At 35.4% G+C, this 18702-nt stretch overlaps 2 protein-coding genes across 2 annotated transcripts; one reads left to right on the plus strand and one right to left on the minus strand.

Annotated features, from left to right (window-relative positions):
- Positions 1-961: 961 nt before the first annotated feature.
- Positions 962-1602, plus strand: CXorf51B (chromosome X open reading frame 51B). Its single transcript, NM_001244892.2, has 2 exons — positions 962-1114; positions 1305-1602. Exons 1-2 carry the CDS (start codon positions 983-985, stop codon positions 1497-1499), a joined length of 327 nt encoding a protein of 108 aa, NP_001231821.1. The 5' UTR covers positions 962-982; the 3' UTR covers positions 1500-1602.
- A 3694-nt stretch (positions 1603-5296) lies between these two features.
- On the minus strand, positions 5297-5935 carry CXorf51A (chromosome X open reading frame 51A). The gene is made up of 2 exons (NM_001144064.3): positions 5783-5935; positions 5297-5592 (listed from the first exon to the last, which is right to left on the minus strand). Exons 1-2 carry the CDS (start codon positions 5912-5914, stop codon positions 5398-5400), a joined length of 327 nt encoding a protein of 108 aa, NP_001137536.1. The 5' UTR covers positions 5915-5935; the 3' UTR covers positions 5297-5397.
- Between the last annotated feature and the right edge of the window lie 12767 nt (positions 5936-18702).

The raw sequence follows: 18702 nt of genomic DNA on the forward strand, positions 1-18702 counted from the left end.
TAAAAGCAATGAACAAGAGATGCATATAGCAGCTTAAGTCAAATGTTACACTTTCACACATGCACGTATTTAACAAAGCCATATGTTTAACAAGAATAAAAACATAGGAAAGCAAATCATTCAAACACATCAGGTGTGTCACATGCAGGTGTCTTTTGGTGGGAAAGAAATTAGTAAGAGAAACTAGGAAGGTAGAAAGAAAAATCCAATAAAATAGAGAAATAACCTTTCAAAAATCAATAATGATAATGTGGTCAGAGCCCAAGAATAGGATAAAAGTAAAGATAAAAGCAACCTTCATAAATAGACAGTTAATTCTAATCCCTTTCTATCAATTGCAGGGCTAGCAGAAATTAATGAAAATAAGCTGCCTTTAATGCCAAATGTGATAGGTAGAAAGATGTTTATTTGTGGGAACTGTCTTTTGTTTGTAGAATTACTCACCTCTCCACTGACATTGAAAGACAGCCATATTGTTTTTAGTGGGATTTTAGGTAAAATATCAAAAATAACAGCTAATGACTTAGGGAGGGAGACTTCAGAATAAACCAATGAGTAGGTGTGGCCTTGGGGAATAGATTAAAGGAAACTGTCTGCTATGTGGGCCACCACAATTGAACATGGGTATATGAGGAGGGGTGGTAGTTCATGATGGGAAGGCATAGAAGAGGCTGTCATAGAGAAGCCTCTTTTCTACCACCAGGCTATCCTTGCCTTTATATCACCCCCCCACCATCCAAAACAGAGGTGGCAGGAGTGGTACATTCTGATGACTAAGACTCCCCAGGTACCTCCCCACCCCTCTCTCACATAGAAGTGACAAGAGTAGTGCTTTGTGACGTCTTAGTGTCCCTTAGCTCTCATTGGCTGGGCGAGTGCCTTGCTGACCAATCAAAGTTGAAGGGTGTGGCCCCTCATTGTGCTGGGAGGGGTATACATAGGATGATCAGGAGCTGTGAGCAGACCACTGGGACAATTCAGTATGGCAAAGGTGACCAGTGAGCCACAGAAGCCTAATGAAGATGTGGACGAACAGACCCCATCAACCTCAAGTACCAAAGGGAGGAAGAAGGGGAAGACACCCCGTCAACGAAGGTCCAGAAGCGGCGTTAAGGTGAGATGATCCCGACCAAACCCCTTCTCTTTGCCCCACTGATTCCGCCACCCCAAGACTCCTATCCTTTCCTTGCCTCACTCAAACCCCCTCCTCAACTCACACCCTTCTCATGAAGCCTATTCCTATGCATTTCCCACCTTCTTTCCCAAAACCAACGCCCTCTGGCCTGACTGTGATCTCCCTGTAGGGCCTAAAGACCACCAGGAAGGCGAAAAGACCCCTTCGAGGGAGCTCGAGCCAAAAAGCCGGTGAAACTAACACCCCTGCAGGAAAACCTAAGAAAGCTAGAGGACCAATACTGCGTGGTCGTTATCACCGGCTGAAAGAAAAAATGAAGAAAGAAGAGGCCGACAAAGAGCAAAGCGAGACCTCAGTTCTGTGATGTCTCTAGAGGTCCGCCACTGAAAAGTCATCAATCATACAGTCAGTGAATTCTACACCAACAGGTTAAAACCATGAAAATAAAATCAACCTGAATCGAAAGGATATGTCTCTGTGACTTCTCTGATGGTGAGGAAGGAAGGAGTGAGGGGAAGAGGGAGGTGTGTGTGAGAAGGCAGGGAGGTGGCTTCTGTGGGGTTTGAGGCCAGACCAACAGGTCCACAGCTGGAAACTGGGGGGATAAGGACTGGCTCAGGACTAAGCACTGAAGATAAATTTCCTGAACACTTTTTAATACACAAAGAGTGAAAGGGGTTGGTGTTTCTACCTGTGTGTGTTTTGGTGGGGAAAGAGGGATGTGACTTCAGTGTATTGATTGTCAGAACCTGTATGGGGTGAGGTGTGTGGGTGGCAGTACTATCCCCAAAAACAGACAAGAGATAACCTGCAGGCCATCTACCTCATAATGGTAGGTATGAGGTACACCCCACCCTATGATATAAGCAACTAAATGCCCTTCAAAGGGCCAAATATCTCTAAAAGTTACCAGCAGCACCTGAAATAATGGTTACTAGATGCCACAAATCCAACACTGACTAGCCCACCTTCTTAAAAAGCTTAGGGCGGGGCAGGGCAATGGGAGTGGTCTACCTCTAGTGCGGGCAGTGAATGAGAGCATTGTCTACAGAGAATTTTAAAACAAGATAGCTCTCTCTCTCCGTCTTTTATTTTTATTTTTCCAAAGTTGTTTTTATCCCTAAAGAGAATATCATTTTTCAACAGCTTTACTGAAGTATAATTGACATATGACAAACTGCACATGCTTAAAAAGTATACAGTTTGATGAGTTTTGTCACATCTGCTCTTGTTAAACCATCACAACTATAAGAGTGAACATACCCATTACCCCCTAAAGTTTTCTCATGCCGTTTGGCAATTCTTCCCTGTCCCTACCTCCACCATCATTCTCAAAAAAACCCGCTGATTTGCTTTCTGTCACTATCTGTTTCTATTTTCTGGAGGTTTGTAAGAATGGAATCATAAGATATGTACTCTTTATTTTTTTCTAGTCCAGCTTCTTAGAACAACTATCTTTCCTTCCCAAAGATATTTTGTTTTGTTGGTCTGCTTTTTAAAAGATTGCTGTGGTCAATACGTTTTAATCATGTGTCTACGGGAGTGGTCTTAAAACAGCACAATTTCTCATTATATTTTAATGAATACTTATTGTATTCTACAAGGAAATTCATGCAGATAATTTCCTGTTATACCATTGGCCTCAGGTATCACCTGACTCAGTTGTTGCTGTTTCTTTCTAAAGCAAGCTCCTAAGGATGTGGTATTTCTTGCAGTGCACTTTGGGCCATAAGCCATGGTCCTGTATGACACACATACACCAGCATTTAAACAATATTTCTAAAACAATAATAGTACAGTCATTGATTTTAAAATAAAGGAATAAATAATCTGAGTTTTTCCTGTGCTGTCATTCCATGTGACCACTTGTTTGGATGATGCCTAAGTTAATAAAACAAAGTATGAATGGCAAGGTATAAATGTTTGAGAAGTTCAAATCTTTACTTCATTTCAACAAAAAATACTTTGTAAAATTGAACTATATCTCTAAAAGTAAAATTTATTCTTCTTTAATTGTTTAATAGTTATTTTAGAACTACAGACCAATTCAAGGAAATCAAATGTTACATATGTGGATAATTTATTAATTGACTAATTTGTCCCTTCTGCATAATTTTTGGTTTTCTTAAAGTACCATTTTATATGTTACTTTATATATGTGTATATACACATATATATGTATATATATACACATATATACACGTGTATATATGTATGTACACATATATGTATATACACACATATATACACACATATATGTACACATATATGTGTGTATATACGTATATACACATGTGTATATACGTATATACACATATATGTATATACACACATATATACACACACATATGTACACATATATGTGTACATATATGTGTGTATATATGTGTGTATATACATATATGTGTACATACATATATACACGTGTATATATGTGTATATATATACATATATATGTGTATATACACATATATAAAGTAACATATAAAATGGTACTTTAAGAAAACCAAAAATTATGCAGAAGGGACAAATTAGTCAATTAATAAATTATCCACATATGTAACATTTGATTTCCTTGAATTGGTCTGTAGTTCTAAAATAACTATTAAACAATTAAAGAAGAATAAATTTTACTTTTAGAGATATAGTTCAATTTTACAAAGTATTTTTTGTTGAAATGAAGTAAAGATTTGAACTTCTCAAACATTTATACCTTGCCATTCATACTTTGTTTTATTAACTTAGGCATCATCCAAACAAGTGGTCACATGGAATGACAGCACAGGAAAAACTCAGATTATTTATTCCTTTATTTTAAAATCAATGACTGTACTATTATTGTTTTAGAAATATTGTTTAAATGCTGGTGTATGTGTGTCATACAGGACCATGGCTTATGGCCCAAAGTGCACTGCAAGAAATACCACATCCTTAGGAGCTTGCTTTAGAAAGAAACAGCAACAACTGAGTCAGGTGATACCTGAGGCCAATGGTATAACAGGAAATTATCTGCATGAATTTCCTTGTAGAATACAATAAGTATTCATTAAAATATAATGAGAAATTGTGCTGTTTTAAGACCACTCCCGTAGACACATGATTAAAACGTATTGACCACAGCAATCTTTTAAAAAGCAGACCAACAAAACAAAATATCTTTGGGAAGGAAAGATAGTTGTTCTAAGAAGCTGGACTAGAAAAAAATAAAGAGTACATATCTTATGATTCCATTCTTACAAACCTCCAGAAAATAGAAACAGATAGTGACAGAAAGCAAATCAGCGGGTTTTTTTGAGAATGATGGTGGAGGTAGGGACAGGGAAGAATTGCCAAACGGCATGAGAAAACTTTAGGGGGTAATGGGTATGTTCACTCTTATAGTTGTGATGGTTTAACAAGAGCAGATGTGACAAAACTCATCAAACTGTATACTTTTTAAGCATGTGCAGTTTGTCATATGTCAATTATACTTCAGTAAAGCTGTTGAAAAATGATATTCTCTTTAGGGATAAAAACAACTTTGGAAAAATAAAAATAAAAGACGGAGAGAGAGAGCTATCTTGTTTTAAAATTCTCTGTAGACAATGCTCTCATTCACTGCCCGCACTAGAGGTAGACCACTCCCATTGCCCTGCCCCGCCCTAAGCTTTTTAAGAAGGTGGGCTAGTCAGTGTTGGATTTGTGGCATCTAGTAACCATTATTTCAGGTGCTGCTGGTAACTTTTAGAGATATTTGGCCCTTTGAAGGGCATTTAGTTGCTTATATCATAGGGTGGGGTGTACCTCATACCTACCATTATGAGGTAGATGGCCTGCAGGTTATCTCTTGTCTGTTTTTGGGGATAGTACTGCCACCCACACACCTCACCCCATACAGGTTCTGACAATCAATACACTGAAGTCACATCCCTCTTTCCCCACCAAAACACACACAGGTAGAAACACCAACCCCTTTCACTCTTTGTGTATTAAAAAGTGTTCAGGAAATTTATCTTCAGTGCTTAGTCCTGAGCCAGTCCTTATCCCCCCAGTTTCCAGCTGTGGACCTGTTGGTCTGGCCTCAAACCCCACAGAAGCCACCTCCCTGCCTTCTCACACACACCTCCCTCTTCCCCTCACTCCTTCCTTCCTCACCATCAGAGAAGTCACAGAGACATATCCTTTCGATTCAGGTTGATTTTATTTTCATGGTTTTAACCTGTTGGTGTAGAATTCACTGACTGTATGATTGATGACTTTTCAGTGGCGGACCTCTAGAGACATCACAGAACTGAGGTCTCGCTTTGCTCTTTGTCGGCCTCTTCTTTCTTCATTTTTTCTTTCAGCCGGTGATAACGACCACGCAGTATTGGTCCTCTAGCTTTCTTAGGTTTTCCTGCAGGGGTGTTAGTTTCACCGGCTTTTTGGCTCGAGCTCCCTCGAAGGGGTCTTTTCGCCTTCCTGGTGGTCTTTAGGCCCTACAGGGAGATCACAGTCAGGCCAGAGGGCGTTGGTTTTGGGAAAGAAGGTGGGAAATGCATAGGAATAGGCTTCATGAGAAGGGTGTGAGTTGAGGAGGGGGTTTGAGTGAGGCAAGGAAAGGATAGGAGTCTTGGGGTGGCGGAATCAGTGGGGCAAAGAGAAGGGGTTTGGTCGGGATCATCTCACCTTAACGCCGCTTCTGGACCTTCGTTGACGGGGTGTCTTCCCCTTCTTCCTCCCTTTGGTACTTGAGGTTGATGGGGTCTGTTCGTCCACATCTTCATTAGGCTTCTGTGGCTCACTGGTCACCTTTGCCATACTGAATTGTCCCAGTGGTCTGCTCACAGCTCCTGATCATCCTATGTATACCCCTCCCAGCACAATGAGGGGCCACACCCTTCAACTTTGATTGGTCAGCAAGGCACTCGCCCAGCCAATGAGAGCTAAGGGACACTAAGACGTCACAAAGCACTACTCTTGTCACTTCTATGTGAGAGAGGGGTGGGGAGGTACCTGGGGAGTCTTAGTCATCAGAATGTACCACTCCTGCCACCTCTGTTTTGGATGGTGGGGGGGTGATATAAAGGCAAGGATAGCCTGGTGGTAGAAAAGAGGCTTCTCTATGACAGCCTCTTCTATGCCTTCCCATCATGAACTACCACCCCTCCTCATATACCCATGTTCAATTGTGGTGGCCCACATAGCAGACAGTTTCCTTTAATCTATTCCCCAAGGCCACACCTACTCATTGGTTTATTCTGAAGTCTCCCTCCCTAAGTCATTAGCTGTTATTTTTGATATTTTACCTAAAATCCCACTAAAAACAATATGGCTGTCTTTCAATGTCAGTGGAGAGGTGAGTAATTCTACAAACAAAAGACAGTTCCCACAAATAAACATCTTTCTACCTATCACATTTGGCATTAAAGGCAGCTTATTTTCATTAATTTCTGCTAGCCCTGCAATTGATAGAAAGGGATTAGAATTAACTGTCTATTTATGAAGGTTGCTTTTATCTTTACTTTTATCCTATTCTTGGGCTCTGACCACATTATCATTATTGATTTTTGAAAGGTTATTTCTCTATTTTATTGGATTTTTCTTTCTACCTTCCTAGTTTCTCTTACTAATTTCTTTCCCACCAAAAGACACCTGCATGTGACACACCTGATGTGTTTGAATGATTTGCTTTCCTATGTTTTTATTCTTGTTAAACATATGGCTTTGTTAAATACGTGCATGTGTGAAAGTGTAACATTTGACTTAAGCTGCTATATGCATCTCTTGTTCATTGCTTTTAATGTTGCATCGTGCTTGTTCATTTTCTTCCCCCTTTAAGTGTAACCTATGTTGATGCTGTTCCTTACTGCTACTAATGATGCTGCTATGAGCCTCGTTAGTAGCTCATGACCCTTTGTGGAATTCTGCCTATATTTCTTTAAGGTGTATGTTCAGGAACAGAATTTCTAGGTAATAGACATATATAATTGTCTTAGTCATTTCAGGCTGCTATAAAAGAATCCTATAGACTGGGTAGCTTAAACAATAGACATTTATTTATCACAGCTCTAAAGGTTGGAACTGAAAAATCAGGGTGTCTCTGGTACCAGTTTACTGTATTGGTCCATTTTCATGCTGCTCATGAAGACACACCCAAGACTGAGAAATTTAGAAAATAAAGCGGTTTAATAAGCTTACAGTTCCACATGGCTGGGTGCCTCACAATTATGGCGCAAGTTGAAAGGCACATCTCACATGGTGACAGACAAGAGACTTATTAAATTACAAATTCATTCTCTTTGTTAGTTGCAGGACTAATTATATCACCTATATAATTTTATTAAATTTATTTTTGGTAGTTTGTGTTTTTCTAACGAATTGATCAATTTTTTCTATATTTTTGAATTTATGAGCATACGGTTGTTCACAGTATTCTCTTATCCATTTAATGCCTGAAAAATCTGTAATGCTATGTCCTTTTTCGTCCCTGATATTGTTTATTTGTTGTCTTCTTTTTTTTAAGCTGTCAGTTGTGCTTAAGTTTTATCAATTTTGTTGACGGTTTTAAAGAAATAGCTTTCTGTTTAATTGATTTTCCTATTTTATTCCTGCTTTTAATTTCATTGATTTTTGTTTTTATCGTTATGATTTACTTCCTTCTGTTTGCTTTGGGTTTATTTTTCTCTTCCTTTCTATATTCTTTAGGTAAGAAATTAGGTCTCTAATTTCAGACATTTCCTTGTTTCTAATGTAAGCATTTAATGGTATAAATTTCTCTCTCAGTATAATGTTAGCTGTATTCCACATGTTTTAACATGTATATTTTCATTTTTATTTAGTTCACATATTTTTTTATTTCCCTTGAGACTACTTCTTCACCCATGAATTATTATGAATTATTTAGAAATGCATAATTTAATTTCCAATTGTTTAGTTTTTTTGTATTTTGTTATAGTTGCTCCTTTGATTCCATTTTGGTCATACAATGTGTTGTCTACACAACACATTTCAATTCTTTTAATTATTTATCAACAATTTCAATTATTTTAAGTTTGGTAAGGTTTGTTTTGTAGTCCATCACATGGTCTATCTTGGTACACGTTCTGTGGACACATGCAATAAATATATATTCTGCTGTTGTTTAATGAACTATTCTATATGTGTCAATTAGATACTGTTGATTGTTGCATTATTCAGTTATTCTATTATTGAGGATATTATGTCTAGAAGTTCTGTCAGTTGCTGAGTGTTTAAATCCAACTATAATTGTAAATAAGTCTATTTCTTCATTCATCTCTATTAGTTTTTGCTTCATGTATTTGAAAGCGCTATTGTTTCGTTGATACACAGTCAGTATAGGTATATATTTGTGGTGGATTGATACTTGCATAATCATGTAAAGTCCTTCTTTGCCTTTATTTACTGTCCTTGCTGTGATCTCTACTTTATACCACATTAATATAACTATTCCTACTTTCTATTTTTAATCGTGGTAAAATACACCTAACATCAAATTTCTATCTGAACCAATTTTTATTGTACAATATTGTACAGTTCAGTTGTGTTAAGTATATTCACACAACGAATCCAAGAACTATTGTCACATTGCAAAACTGAAACTCTATACCCATTGCACAACTCCTCACTTCCTCCTCTTCTAGACCCTGACAAAAACCATTCTACTTTTTGCCTCTTTGAATTTAACTACTCTAGCTACCTCATATAATTATAATTTTACAGTATGTGTCTTTTTATGACTGGCTTATTTTATCTAGCATAATGCTCTCAAGGTTCATTTATGTATAATGCCAGAATTTTATTCTTTGAAAAGGCTTAATAATATTTTATTGTATGTATATACTTCAATTTGCCGATCTATTGATGAACCCTTGGGTTGCTTCTCCTTTTTGCCTATTGTGAGTAAGGTTGCTATGAACATGGGTGTACTGATATATCTTCAAGACTCTGCTTTTAATTGTGTTGAGTATATACCCAGAAGAGGAATTGCTGGCTCATGTGAGAATTCTATTTTTACTTTTTGAGGAACTACCATACCATTTTTCATAGTTGCCACACCATTTGACATTACTACCAACAATGCGCAAAAGGTTCCGGTTTTTCTACTTCTTTGTCAGCACTTTTAATTTTCTGTTACTTTGATAGTAGCAATCCTAATGGTTATAAAGTGGTATCTCATTGTGATTTTTATTTGTATTTACTTAATAATTGGTACTGTTCAGAATCTTTTAATGTGTTTGTTGGTTGTTTGTATATTTTCTTTCCGGAAATGTCTATTTAATTCCTTTGCCTGTTTTTAAGTTAGGTTGTATTTCATCGTTAAGTTGGAGTTCTTTTCATATTCCGGATATTAACCCCTCATCAGTTATATGCTTTGCAAATTTTTCCCCTATACAGCAGGTTGTCTTTGGCTCTGTTGATTGCATTCCTTGATGCACTTAAGGTTCTTAATTGTCATACACTCAAATTTATCTATTTTTTTGTTGTCCTTTATTTTTGTGGAATAGCAAAAAAATTCATATCTAATAACATGAAGCTTTTCTTCTAAGGGGCTTACAGTTTTAGCACATACATTTAAGTCTTTCATCAATTTTCAATTGATTTTTTTATATAGTAAGGGTCCAACTTCATTCTTTTGCATGTGAATATCCAACTTTCTCAACATCATTTATTGAAAAGACTGTCTTTCCCCATTAAGAGGTCTTAGCACCCTTGTCAAAAATAACTTGACCATATATATGAAAGTTTATTTCTGGCCTTTCTATTCCATTTCACTGGTCTATAAGACTTCCTTTATGCCAATACCACACTGTTAAATTACTGTAACTCTGTAATAAGTTTTAACATGAGGAAGTGTGACGTCTCCAGCTTTGTTTTTCTCAAAATTGGTCTGACTATTAAGGATCCCTTTAGATTCCATATAAATTTTAGAATAAATTTGGTATTTAAAAAATCATTGGAAAATTTGATAGGAATTACATTAAATTTGTAGATCTCTTTTGCTGGCATTTCCAGCTTAACAACATTAATTATTCAACTCATGAACATGAATGTCTTTCCATTTATTTGTGTCTTCCTTAATTTGGGGGGTCAATATTTTGCAGTTTTCAGTGTAAAAGTATTTTGCCTCCTTGGTGAAGTTTATTTCTAAGTATTTTTTTCATGCTATTATGAAATGGAATTGTTTCCTTAATTTCTTTTTCTTATTGTTGATTATTGACATAGAGAAATGCACCTAATTTTTTCAAGCTGATTTTATGTTCTGCAACTTCACTGAATTTGTTGATTCATTCCAGAAGAGTTTTTGTGTGGCATTTTTAATGTTCTCCATATACAAGATCGTGTAGTCTTAGAAGAAAGATACTCTTACTTTTTCCTTTCCTATTTGGATACCTTTCCTTTCTTCTTCTTATCCAATTGCTAGTCACTCTTGCTTTTTAAAATTAATATATTCAAGGCATATATTTTCCATTATTTTACTTTCATTCTATCAATGTCACATAGTGTGTTTATTTTTGACAGCATACATATTTTTTTTTTTTCTTTGAGACAGACGTGAGATTCTTTTGCCCAGGCTGGAGTGCAGTGGCCCAATCTCAGCTCACTGCAGCCTTCGCCTCCTGGGTTCAAGCAATTCTCCTGCCTCAGCCTCTCAAATAGCTGAGACTACAGGCACCCACCACCACGCCTGGTTAATTTTTGTATTTTTAGTAGAGATGAGTTTCACCATGCTGGCCAGGCTGGTCTTGAACTCTTGACCTCAAGTGATCCGCCTGCCTTGGCCTCCCAAAGTGCTGGAATTACAGGCATGAGCTAACGTGTTAGGCCAGACAGCATATTGTTGAATCATTTTTCATCCACACTGTTTATGTATTTTAATTACTATACAAAGACTATTTACTTTTAAGGTAATTATTTATATTGATAGTAAAGCTAAATTGTGTCATTTTATTTATTTGCTTTCTGTTTATGTTTCCTGCTTGTCATTCTTCCATTTTTCTTTGCATACCTTCCTGAGACTTACCTGATTTTTTTTAGAGTTGTATCTTGACTGACTTACAGTGTTTTTGAGTATAGCACATTGTATAGTTTTCTTAGTTGTTACACTAGATATTACAATATGTAGTTAATCACAGTCTACAGGTATCAACATTTTACCACTTTGAGTGAAGTGTAAAATCCTTACTTGATTTACATCTGTTTATCCTCCAACATTAAAAATATAATCATATGAAGTCTTTATATACATTGAGCAATATGTGAAATATTGTTTTAATTTTTGCTTCACCATAAAATATAACTAAAGAAACTCTCAAAGGCAAGGATATTATATGATATTTATGCCCATTTTAATTTATGCTGATGTTTTTTCTTTTTGAAGTTCCCAGCCTTCTTTTATCATTTTCTATTTTATAGATCTTCCTTTAGCCAATCTTTAAGAATGCATTTGCTAGCAAAAACATATAGTTTTTCCTCATCTGACAATATCTTATATTCCCCTTTATTCTAGAAGAATATTTTTGCTGGAAACAGAATTTCTACTTGGCAATTTTTACAACACCTGAAATGCCCAGTTCCACTTCAAACTGGCCTTCAGAGTTTTAGAAGAGAAATTCATTGTCATTCAAATGTCTGGGTTCCCATAATAATGTGTCTTTTGTCTCTGGCTGCTCTGAAGATTTTTTATTTGTCTATAGATTTGAAACCGTAAACTATGATATGTCTTGGCATGTTTTTGTGTGCGTTTGTTCTATTTGGACTTCTCCCAGGCTCCTGAATCTGTAGGTTTATGTGTCCCTGTACATTTGAGAGGATATATGCATTATTTCTTTAAACACTTTTTTGGTTCCACTTTGTCTCTGATCTCTTTTTGAGATACTGATGATATAAATTTCGTTTTTTTTTGTTATCCCACAGGGTGCTGAGTAGCTTTTCATTTTTGTTTTCAATTTGTTTTCTTTCTGTTTCTCCGATTGGGTAAATACTATTGATCTGTCCTCAAGTTCACTGATCCTTTCCTTGTCATCTTGACTCTGGATGAGCCCATTCAGTGAGGTTTTTATTTTTTTTTTTCTAATTTCAGTTATGGTATTTTTCACTTCTATAATTTTCATTTGTTTTTTATAACATCTTTTTGTGGAGTTCTTTAAAATTAGTAGCTGTTTGTTGAGGTATTTTTGTAACAGCTGATTTAAAGTTGTCAGTTAGCCTCAACATATGATTCATGTTATGTTGTCCTCTGTTGATTTTGTGCCTGTTCAATTATTGGATGGGCCCTACCAACACCACTCTGACCAAATTCGAATGCTGACTCCCACTGTCTTATTAAAGACACATGGAGGAAAGGCTCAGCTCTCTGCTCAGCCTTGCTGATATCATCTCAGTGAAAGTAGGTCACTAACACATACCACCACCTTGCCTCCAAATAGGAATGTAAGGTCAGCTCCCTGATGTGTCCTTCTGTCCCCAAGAAGGAGATAAGTAAAGGGCTGACTCTCATTGCTTTGTTGCTGCTTTTTGGGTGTGGAAGCTAAACACTCTAGTGAACACAGCTGACACCAAGGGAGGGGAAGGAAGAAAGTGGAGTGCTAATAAACCCCACCTTTTAACACCCCATTCTGACCTCACTGATATCAGGCAGGTACAGCAGTTCAGCTCCCCAGTGGGTTCCACTAACACCAGGGATGATTAGAAAGCGAACAAGTCAACTGTTTTGTTCAGTTTCATTGACGTGTGGTGGGAGTAGAAGCTCAGCTCTCCGCTAGTCCCCACTAACAGAAATGAGTGGTGGTGAAGTATAGTGGTGAATAACACTGCCTTGCACAGCTTCATGAAGTCTGATTGCTACTATGTGAGTTTAGAAGCTCATCTAGCCTCTGAGTACTATTGCCATTACATACACAACTCTGTCGTTGGGAGAATTGTGGTAGAACCCACTTCTACCAGCCAGGAAATGCAAGATCTACTGCCCCTGGGTTTCAGTAACACTATCAAGACAAAAATGTCACATCTTGATTTGGGATGTATATTGGGCCATTCTTGCATTGCTATGAAGAAATACCTGAGGGTGGGTAATTTATTTTAAAAAGAGGTTTGATTGGTTTATGATTCTGCAGGCTGTACAGGAAGCATGGTGCTGACACCTGTTTGGCTTCTGGGGAGGCCTCAGGAAGGTTTTACTAACGATAAAAGGTGAAGCAGGAGCAGGCACATCACATGGTGAAAGCAGGAGCAAGAGAGGAGGTGGGAGGTGCTGCATACTTTTAAACTATCGGATCTCATGCAAACTCACTCGCTATCAAGAGGATAGCATCCAACCATGAGGAATCTGGCCCCATGACTCACACGCTCCTACTTGGCCCCACCTCCAACACTTGGGATTACATCCCAACATGATATTTGGGTGGAACAAATATCCAGACTATATTGGTGGGGTCCAGGGCTGTGTGCAAGATTAGCTGCCTTCTTGGCCTCACTGAAATTGTGTGTCTGGAAGAGAAGCTTTTTCTCTGGTGTTTGGTGGGAATAGGATGGGTGTTGCAAAATGTTTTCTGCTATGTTGGGCCATCCTTTTTCTGGTCTTCTGGTTAAGGCAAATAGGTTTTTCGTCAAGATTTTTCTTTTAGCCTGTGCCTGTTGCTGGTACCAGACTGGAGACTGCTGTAGTACTCTTTTAAGACATATGAAAGCTAATTAGAAAACTCATGGAAATAAGTGCCATGTAGTTCCTGAAGTCTCAAAGTCCCCTTTGTATTCTGCCACATTCTTCTTTCTACATTTCAAAATCTTCTTATGCTTGCATGTTATGTACAGATATTTTTACCTGATTATCTTTACCTGATATACACACATGTATATGTATGTATATACACATATATATGTGTATATACATACATATATATGTGTGTATATACATACATGTATGTGTATATACACATACATGTATGTGTATATACACATACATATATGTGTATTTATGTGTATATATACATATATATTATGTGTATATATGTATACATGTATATATGTATACATATACATGTATATATGTATACATGTATATATGTATACATATACATGTATATATGTATACATGTATATATGTATACATATACATGTATATATGTATATATGTATACATATACATGTATATATGTATACATACACGTATGTATACATATACATGTATATATGTATACATACACGTGTGTGTGTATATACATACATATATGTATACATACACGTGTGTGTGTATATACATACATATATGTATACATACACGTGTGTGTATATACATACATATATGTATACATACACGTGTGTGTATATACATACATATATGTATACATACACGTGTGTGTGTATATACATACATATATGTATACATACACGTGTGTGTGTATATACATACATATATGTATACATACACGTGTGTGTGTATATACATACATATATGTATACATACACGTGTGTGTGTATATACATACATATATGTATACATACACGTGTGTGTGTATATACATACATATATGTATACATACACGTGTGTGTGTATATACATACATATATGTATACATACACGTGTGTGTGTATATACATACATATATGTATACATACACGTGTGTGTGTATATACATACATATATGTATACATACACGTGTGTGTGTATATACATACATATATGTATATATATGTGTATATATACATATATATGTGTGTATATACATATATGTAATGCTCACTGGAAACACACCATATTTCTTTATTAATCCTTATTATTTCTTGTTTTAATTTATGGTTATCACTGAAAATGTGTTCTAATGAGTAGGGGGCATTAAAAAGCATTCCCCATTTGGTTTTAAATACACTAATTAGGTCAAAGGTAGAAGACTTTTTTTCTTCAAATACTTCACACTTTGGTCCTAGTGTCTGGCATCTTTTGGTTTTTTTTAAACAGCTTTATTCAGATATACCTGACTATAATATACAATTAATTAGAGTCGGCACATATACACCTGTGAAAACATCACCACAATTCAAATAAGAACACTATCCATGACTGCATCAGGTGTTTTCTTTTCTTTTCTTTTTTTTTTTTTTTTTTGCCACCTTGTGTTTTTTCCTCCCACTTCTTCCCAATTCCCAATTCCCAATCACTGATCTGCCTTCTGCCTCTACAGGTTAGTTTACAATTCTAGCGTTGCATATTAATGGGATCAGATTATGTACTTAATTTTATCTAGCCTCTTCCATTCAGCATAATTTTGAGTGTCATCAATGTTGTTGCATACATCAGTATTATATTCTTTTTATGTTATTTTTTATTATTTTGTCAAGTATCAGCACTAAAACAATACCCCAAAGTAGCTTGAATTTTATTTTTTCACGATAATTGTAGATTTACAGGCAACTGTGAGAAATAGAGAGATGCCTTATACCGTTCACCCAGATTCTCCTGATGGTAATGTCTGCTATAAACATAGTACAACAATAGCTTATCTGGACTGGGGAAACCAGGGCTTTGTGAGTCAGGAAAATATTATTTCCCTCATGCATATTTAAATAGTGTAGCCATGAATTATGCAGCCAAAACGGACTGTAATAACATATAAGAGAAAAAAATACCATTTAGAGAAACCAACAAAGTGGACCTGTGTTAATACTAAAATTAAAAGCATGATTTAACTGTAGAAAAATTGCTGAGATTTAAGAGGCAACAAGGCTAGTGGTTGGTGGGTAGGAGGAAGAAAATACTACACACACACACACACACACACACACACACAAACACAGTAAATATAGAAAATACTATGTATGTATAGTATATAGTATATATATATAGAAATATATGTAGTATAGAGTATATATGGTATATATATATGAGAATATATACTATATATAGAAAATACTATACATACGAGTGTGCATATATAAATATGTGATCAACTATTAAGAAAAAGACAACAAGGTACTTTTAAGAAAGTTCTTGCTCAAACAGGAAAGATTTTGTCCTGTCAACCCTGTCCAAAATGTTTAAGAGAAGGAAAAAGTAATTATAAAATAAAAATGTATTTATATGAACCTGGAAACCTGTGCTTTGTGGTCAAGTTAATTAAAACCTGACCCTGCAAACATCAAAAAAGGAAAGAAAATGGGCAGCAGGCATGAATACACATTTCAATGAAGGTGATACAAAAATAGAAAATTGGCACATAAAAAGATGTCCAGCAATAACAGCCATCAGGGAAATACAGATGTAAACACCAATGTGATCATGCGCATTATAATAATCCATAAATACCTTAAAAATTAACACAATGATAACAACAAATGCTGTTGAGAATGCAGAGAAATTGTAGCACTCTTAGATTGCTGGTGGGCTTGTCAAATGGTACTCCCAACAGGAAAGGTATATGACAGTTTCTTACAAAACTTAACATGACATCACCATGTTACCCAGCAGTTTTGCTCTTGAGCACTTATTCCAAAAAAAAGAAAACGTAACTTCATAGAAAAACCTATACAGGAATGACTATACCAGTTTTATTGTATTAATGATAATCTAAAGTTGGAAACAACTAAAGTATTCTCCAATAAATGAATATTTAAACAAACTGTGGTACATCTATAGCACAGAATATTACTTACCAATAAAACAAACAAATAAACAAAAACAACTATGATGCACACAGCAACTTGATAGATGAGCCTATTCAGTGAGTTTTTTTCCTTCTAATTTCGGTTACTGTATTTGTCACTTCTATAATTTTCAATTTTTTTATAACATCTTTTTCGTGAAGTTCTTTAAAATTAGTAGTTGCTCATTGAAGTGTTTTTGTGATGGCTGATTTAAAGTTGTTGTCAGTTAGCCTCAACATATGATTCATGTTATGTTGTCCTCTGTTGATTTTGTGCCTGTTCAATTATTGGATGGGCCCTACCAACACCACTCTGACCAAATTTGAATGCTGACTCCCACTGTCTTATTAAAGACACATGGAGGAAAGGCTCAGCTCTCTGCTCAGCCTTGCTGATATCGTCTCAGTGAAAGTAGGTCACTAACACATACCACCACATTTCAAAATCTTCTTATGCTTGCATGTTATGTACAGATATTTTTACCTGATTATCTTCTGGCCAGAACCTACTTCTTCCTTCCTATTCACTGCTAAGTAGTATTCCACTGTAGGGATTTATCAGAATTTTTAAAAATCCAATCACTAATTGGTGAACTTCAGTTTTTCTCTAAGCTTTGGAAATTATAATAAAGATAAAAGAAACATTCGTGTACAGATATTTTTGTATATTTACATTTTTATTTCTCTTCATCATCCAGGAGTGAGTTATATAATTCACAGCAAGTATATATTTAACTTTATAAGAAATGTTAAACTTTTTTCCTGAGTAGATGTAGCATTTCACAATTCCACCAATGATGTTGCTCCACATCTTCATCAGTATATGGTAGAGTCAGTGTTTTTTTTTCTGATTGTTAGTTTTTTATTGTTGTTGTTCATTGGTTTCTTTTTAAGCATTCTAAAATATTACTGAACATGATTTTTATATTTTCTATTTTTGTAACTTTTTGCTTTATGGCCCATATTATGGTTTATCTTTGTGAATGTTACATGTGTACTTAAAGAGAATGCATATTCTGGTACTATTGTGTAGCTTGATCTACAAATGTCAAATAGGTTAGAACCATTGACAAGGTTTTGTTAGGTCTTGTATATCCTTACTTATGTGATTCCTACTTGTTTTTGTCAGTAACTGAGGGAAGAGTCTTTAGATCTTCAACTCTAATTGTGGCTTTGTCTTTTCTTCTTCAATTCTATTAATTTTTCATTCATGTATTTTTAAGCGTCATTGGTAGGTGCTTAAATGTTTAAGATCATTATGTTTTCTGGGTAAAACGATGGTTTTTATTCCTATGCAATATCCATCTTTCCCCCTGGTAATATTCTTTTTTTTTCAAAAAAATTACTTCATCTTATATTAATGTGGCCAATCCAGTTATTTTTTAACTTGAGGTTTTATGGTAAATATGTTTCCATCCTTTTAATTTTAAACTATCTACATCTTTATATTTAAAAGAACATTATTCCATATAACCATTAGTTATGTCTTATTCTATGTCCCATCTGGAAACTTCTTTCATTTAAATTGGGATATTTTAACAATTTATATGTAATCCAGTTATTGATATAGTTGGATATTCTTCTACCAACTTACTAGTTGTTTTCTACTTGTTCCATTTGTTACTTACTCTTTATTACCATTTCTGCCCAGACTAAATGAATGTTCTTTATGATTCTGCTTTAAGTACACTGTTAGCTTATTGTTTATACCTATGTTTTTAGTTAGTTTCCTAAGTTTTCCAGTACACACAATTAGCATATCGCAGTGTATATTCAAATGTTATTCTACTTCATATGTATTAATAGTAAGAAAGGTACCATGTAGATCCAGTTTTTACCTGTTATTGTTTGTGCTATTACTTATTTGTTTTATTTGTATAGCTCAATATATTGTTACTACTTTTACTTTAGAAAGTCAGTTGTTTTTAGTAAAATTAAACATAAGAAATA

This window comes from Homo sapiens, chromosome X, assembly GCF_000001405.40.
Source record: "Homo sapiens chromosome X, GRCh38.p14 Primary Assembly".
Taxonomy (NCBI): Eukaryota; Metazoa; Chordata; class Mammalia; order Primates; family Hominidae; genus Homo; species Homo sapiens.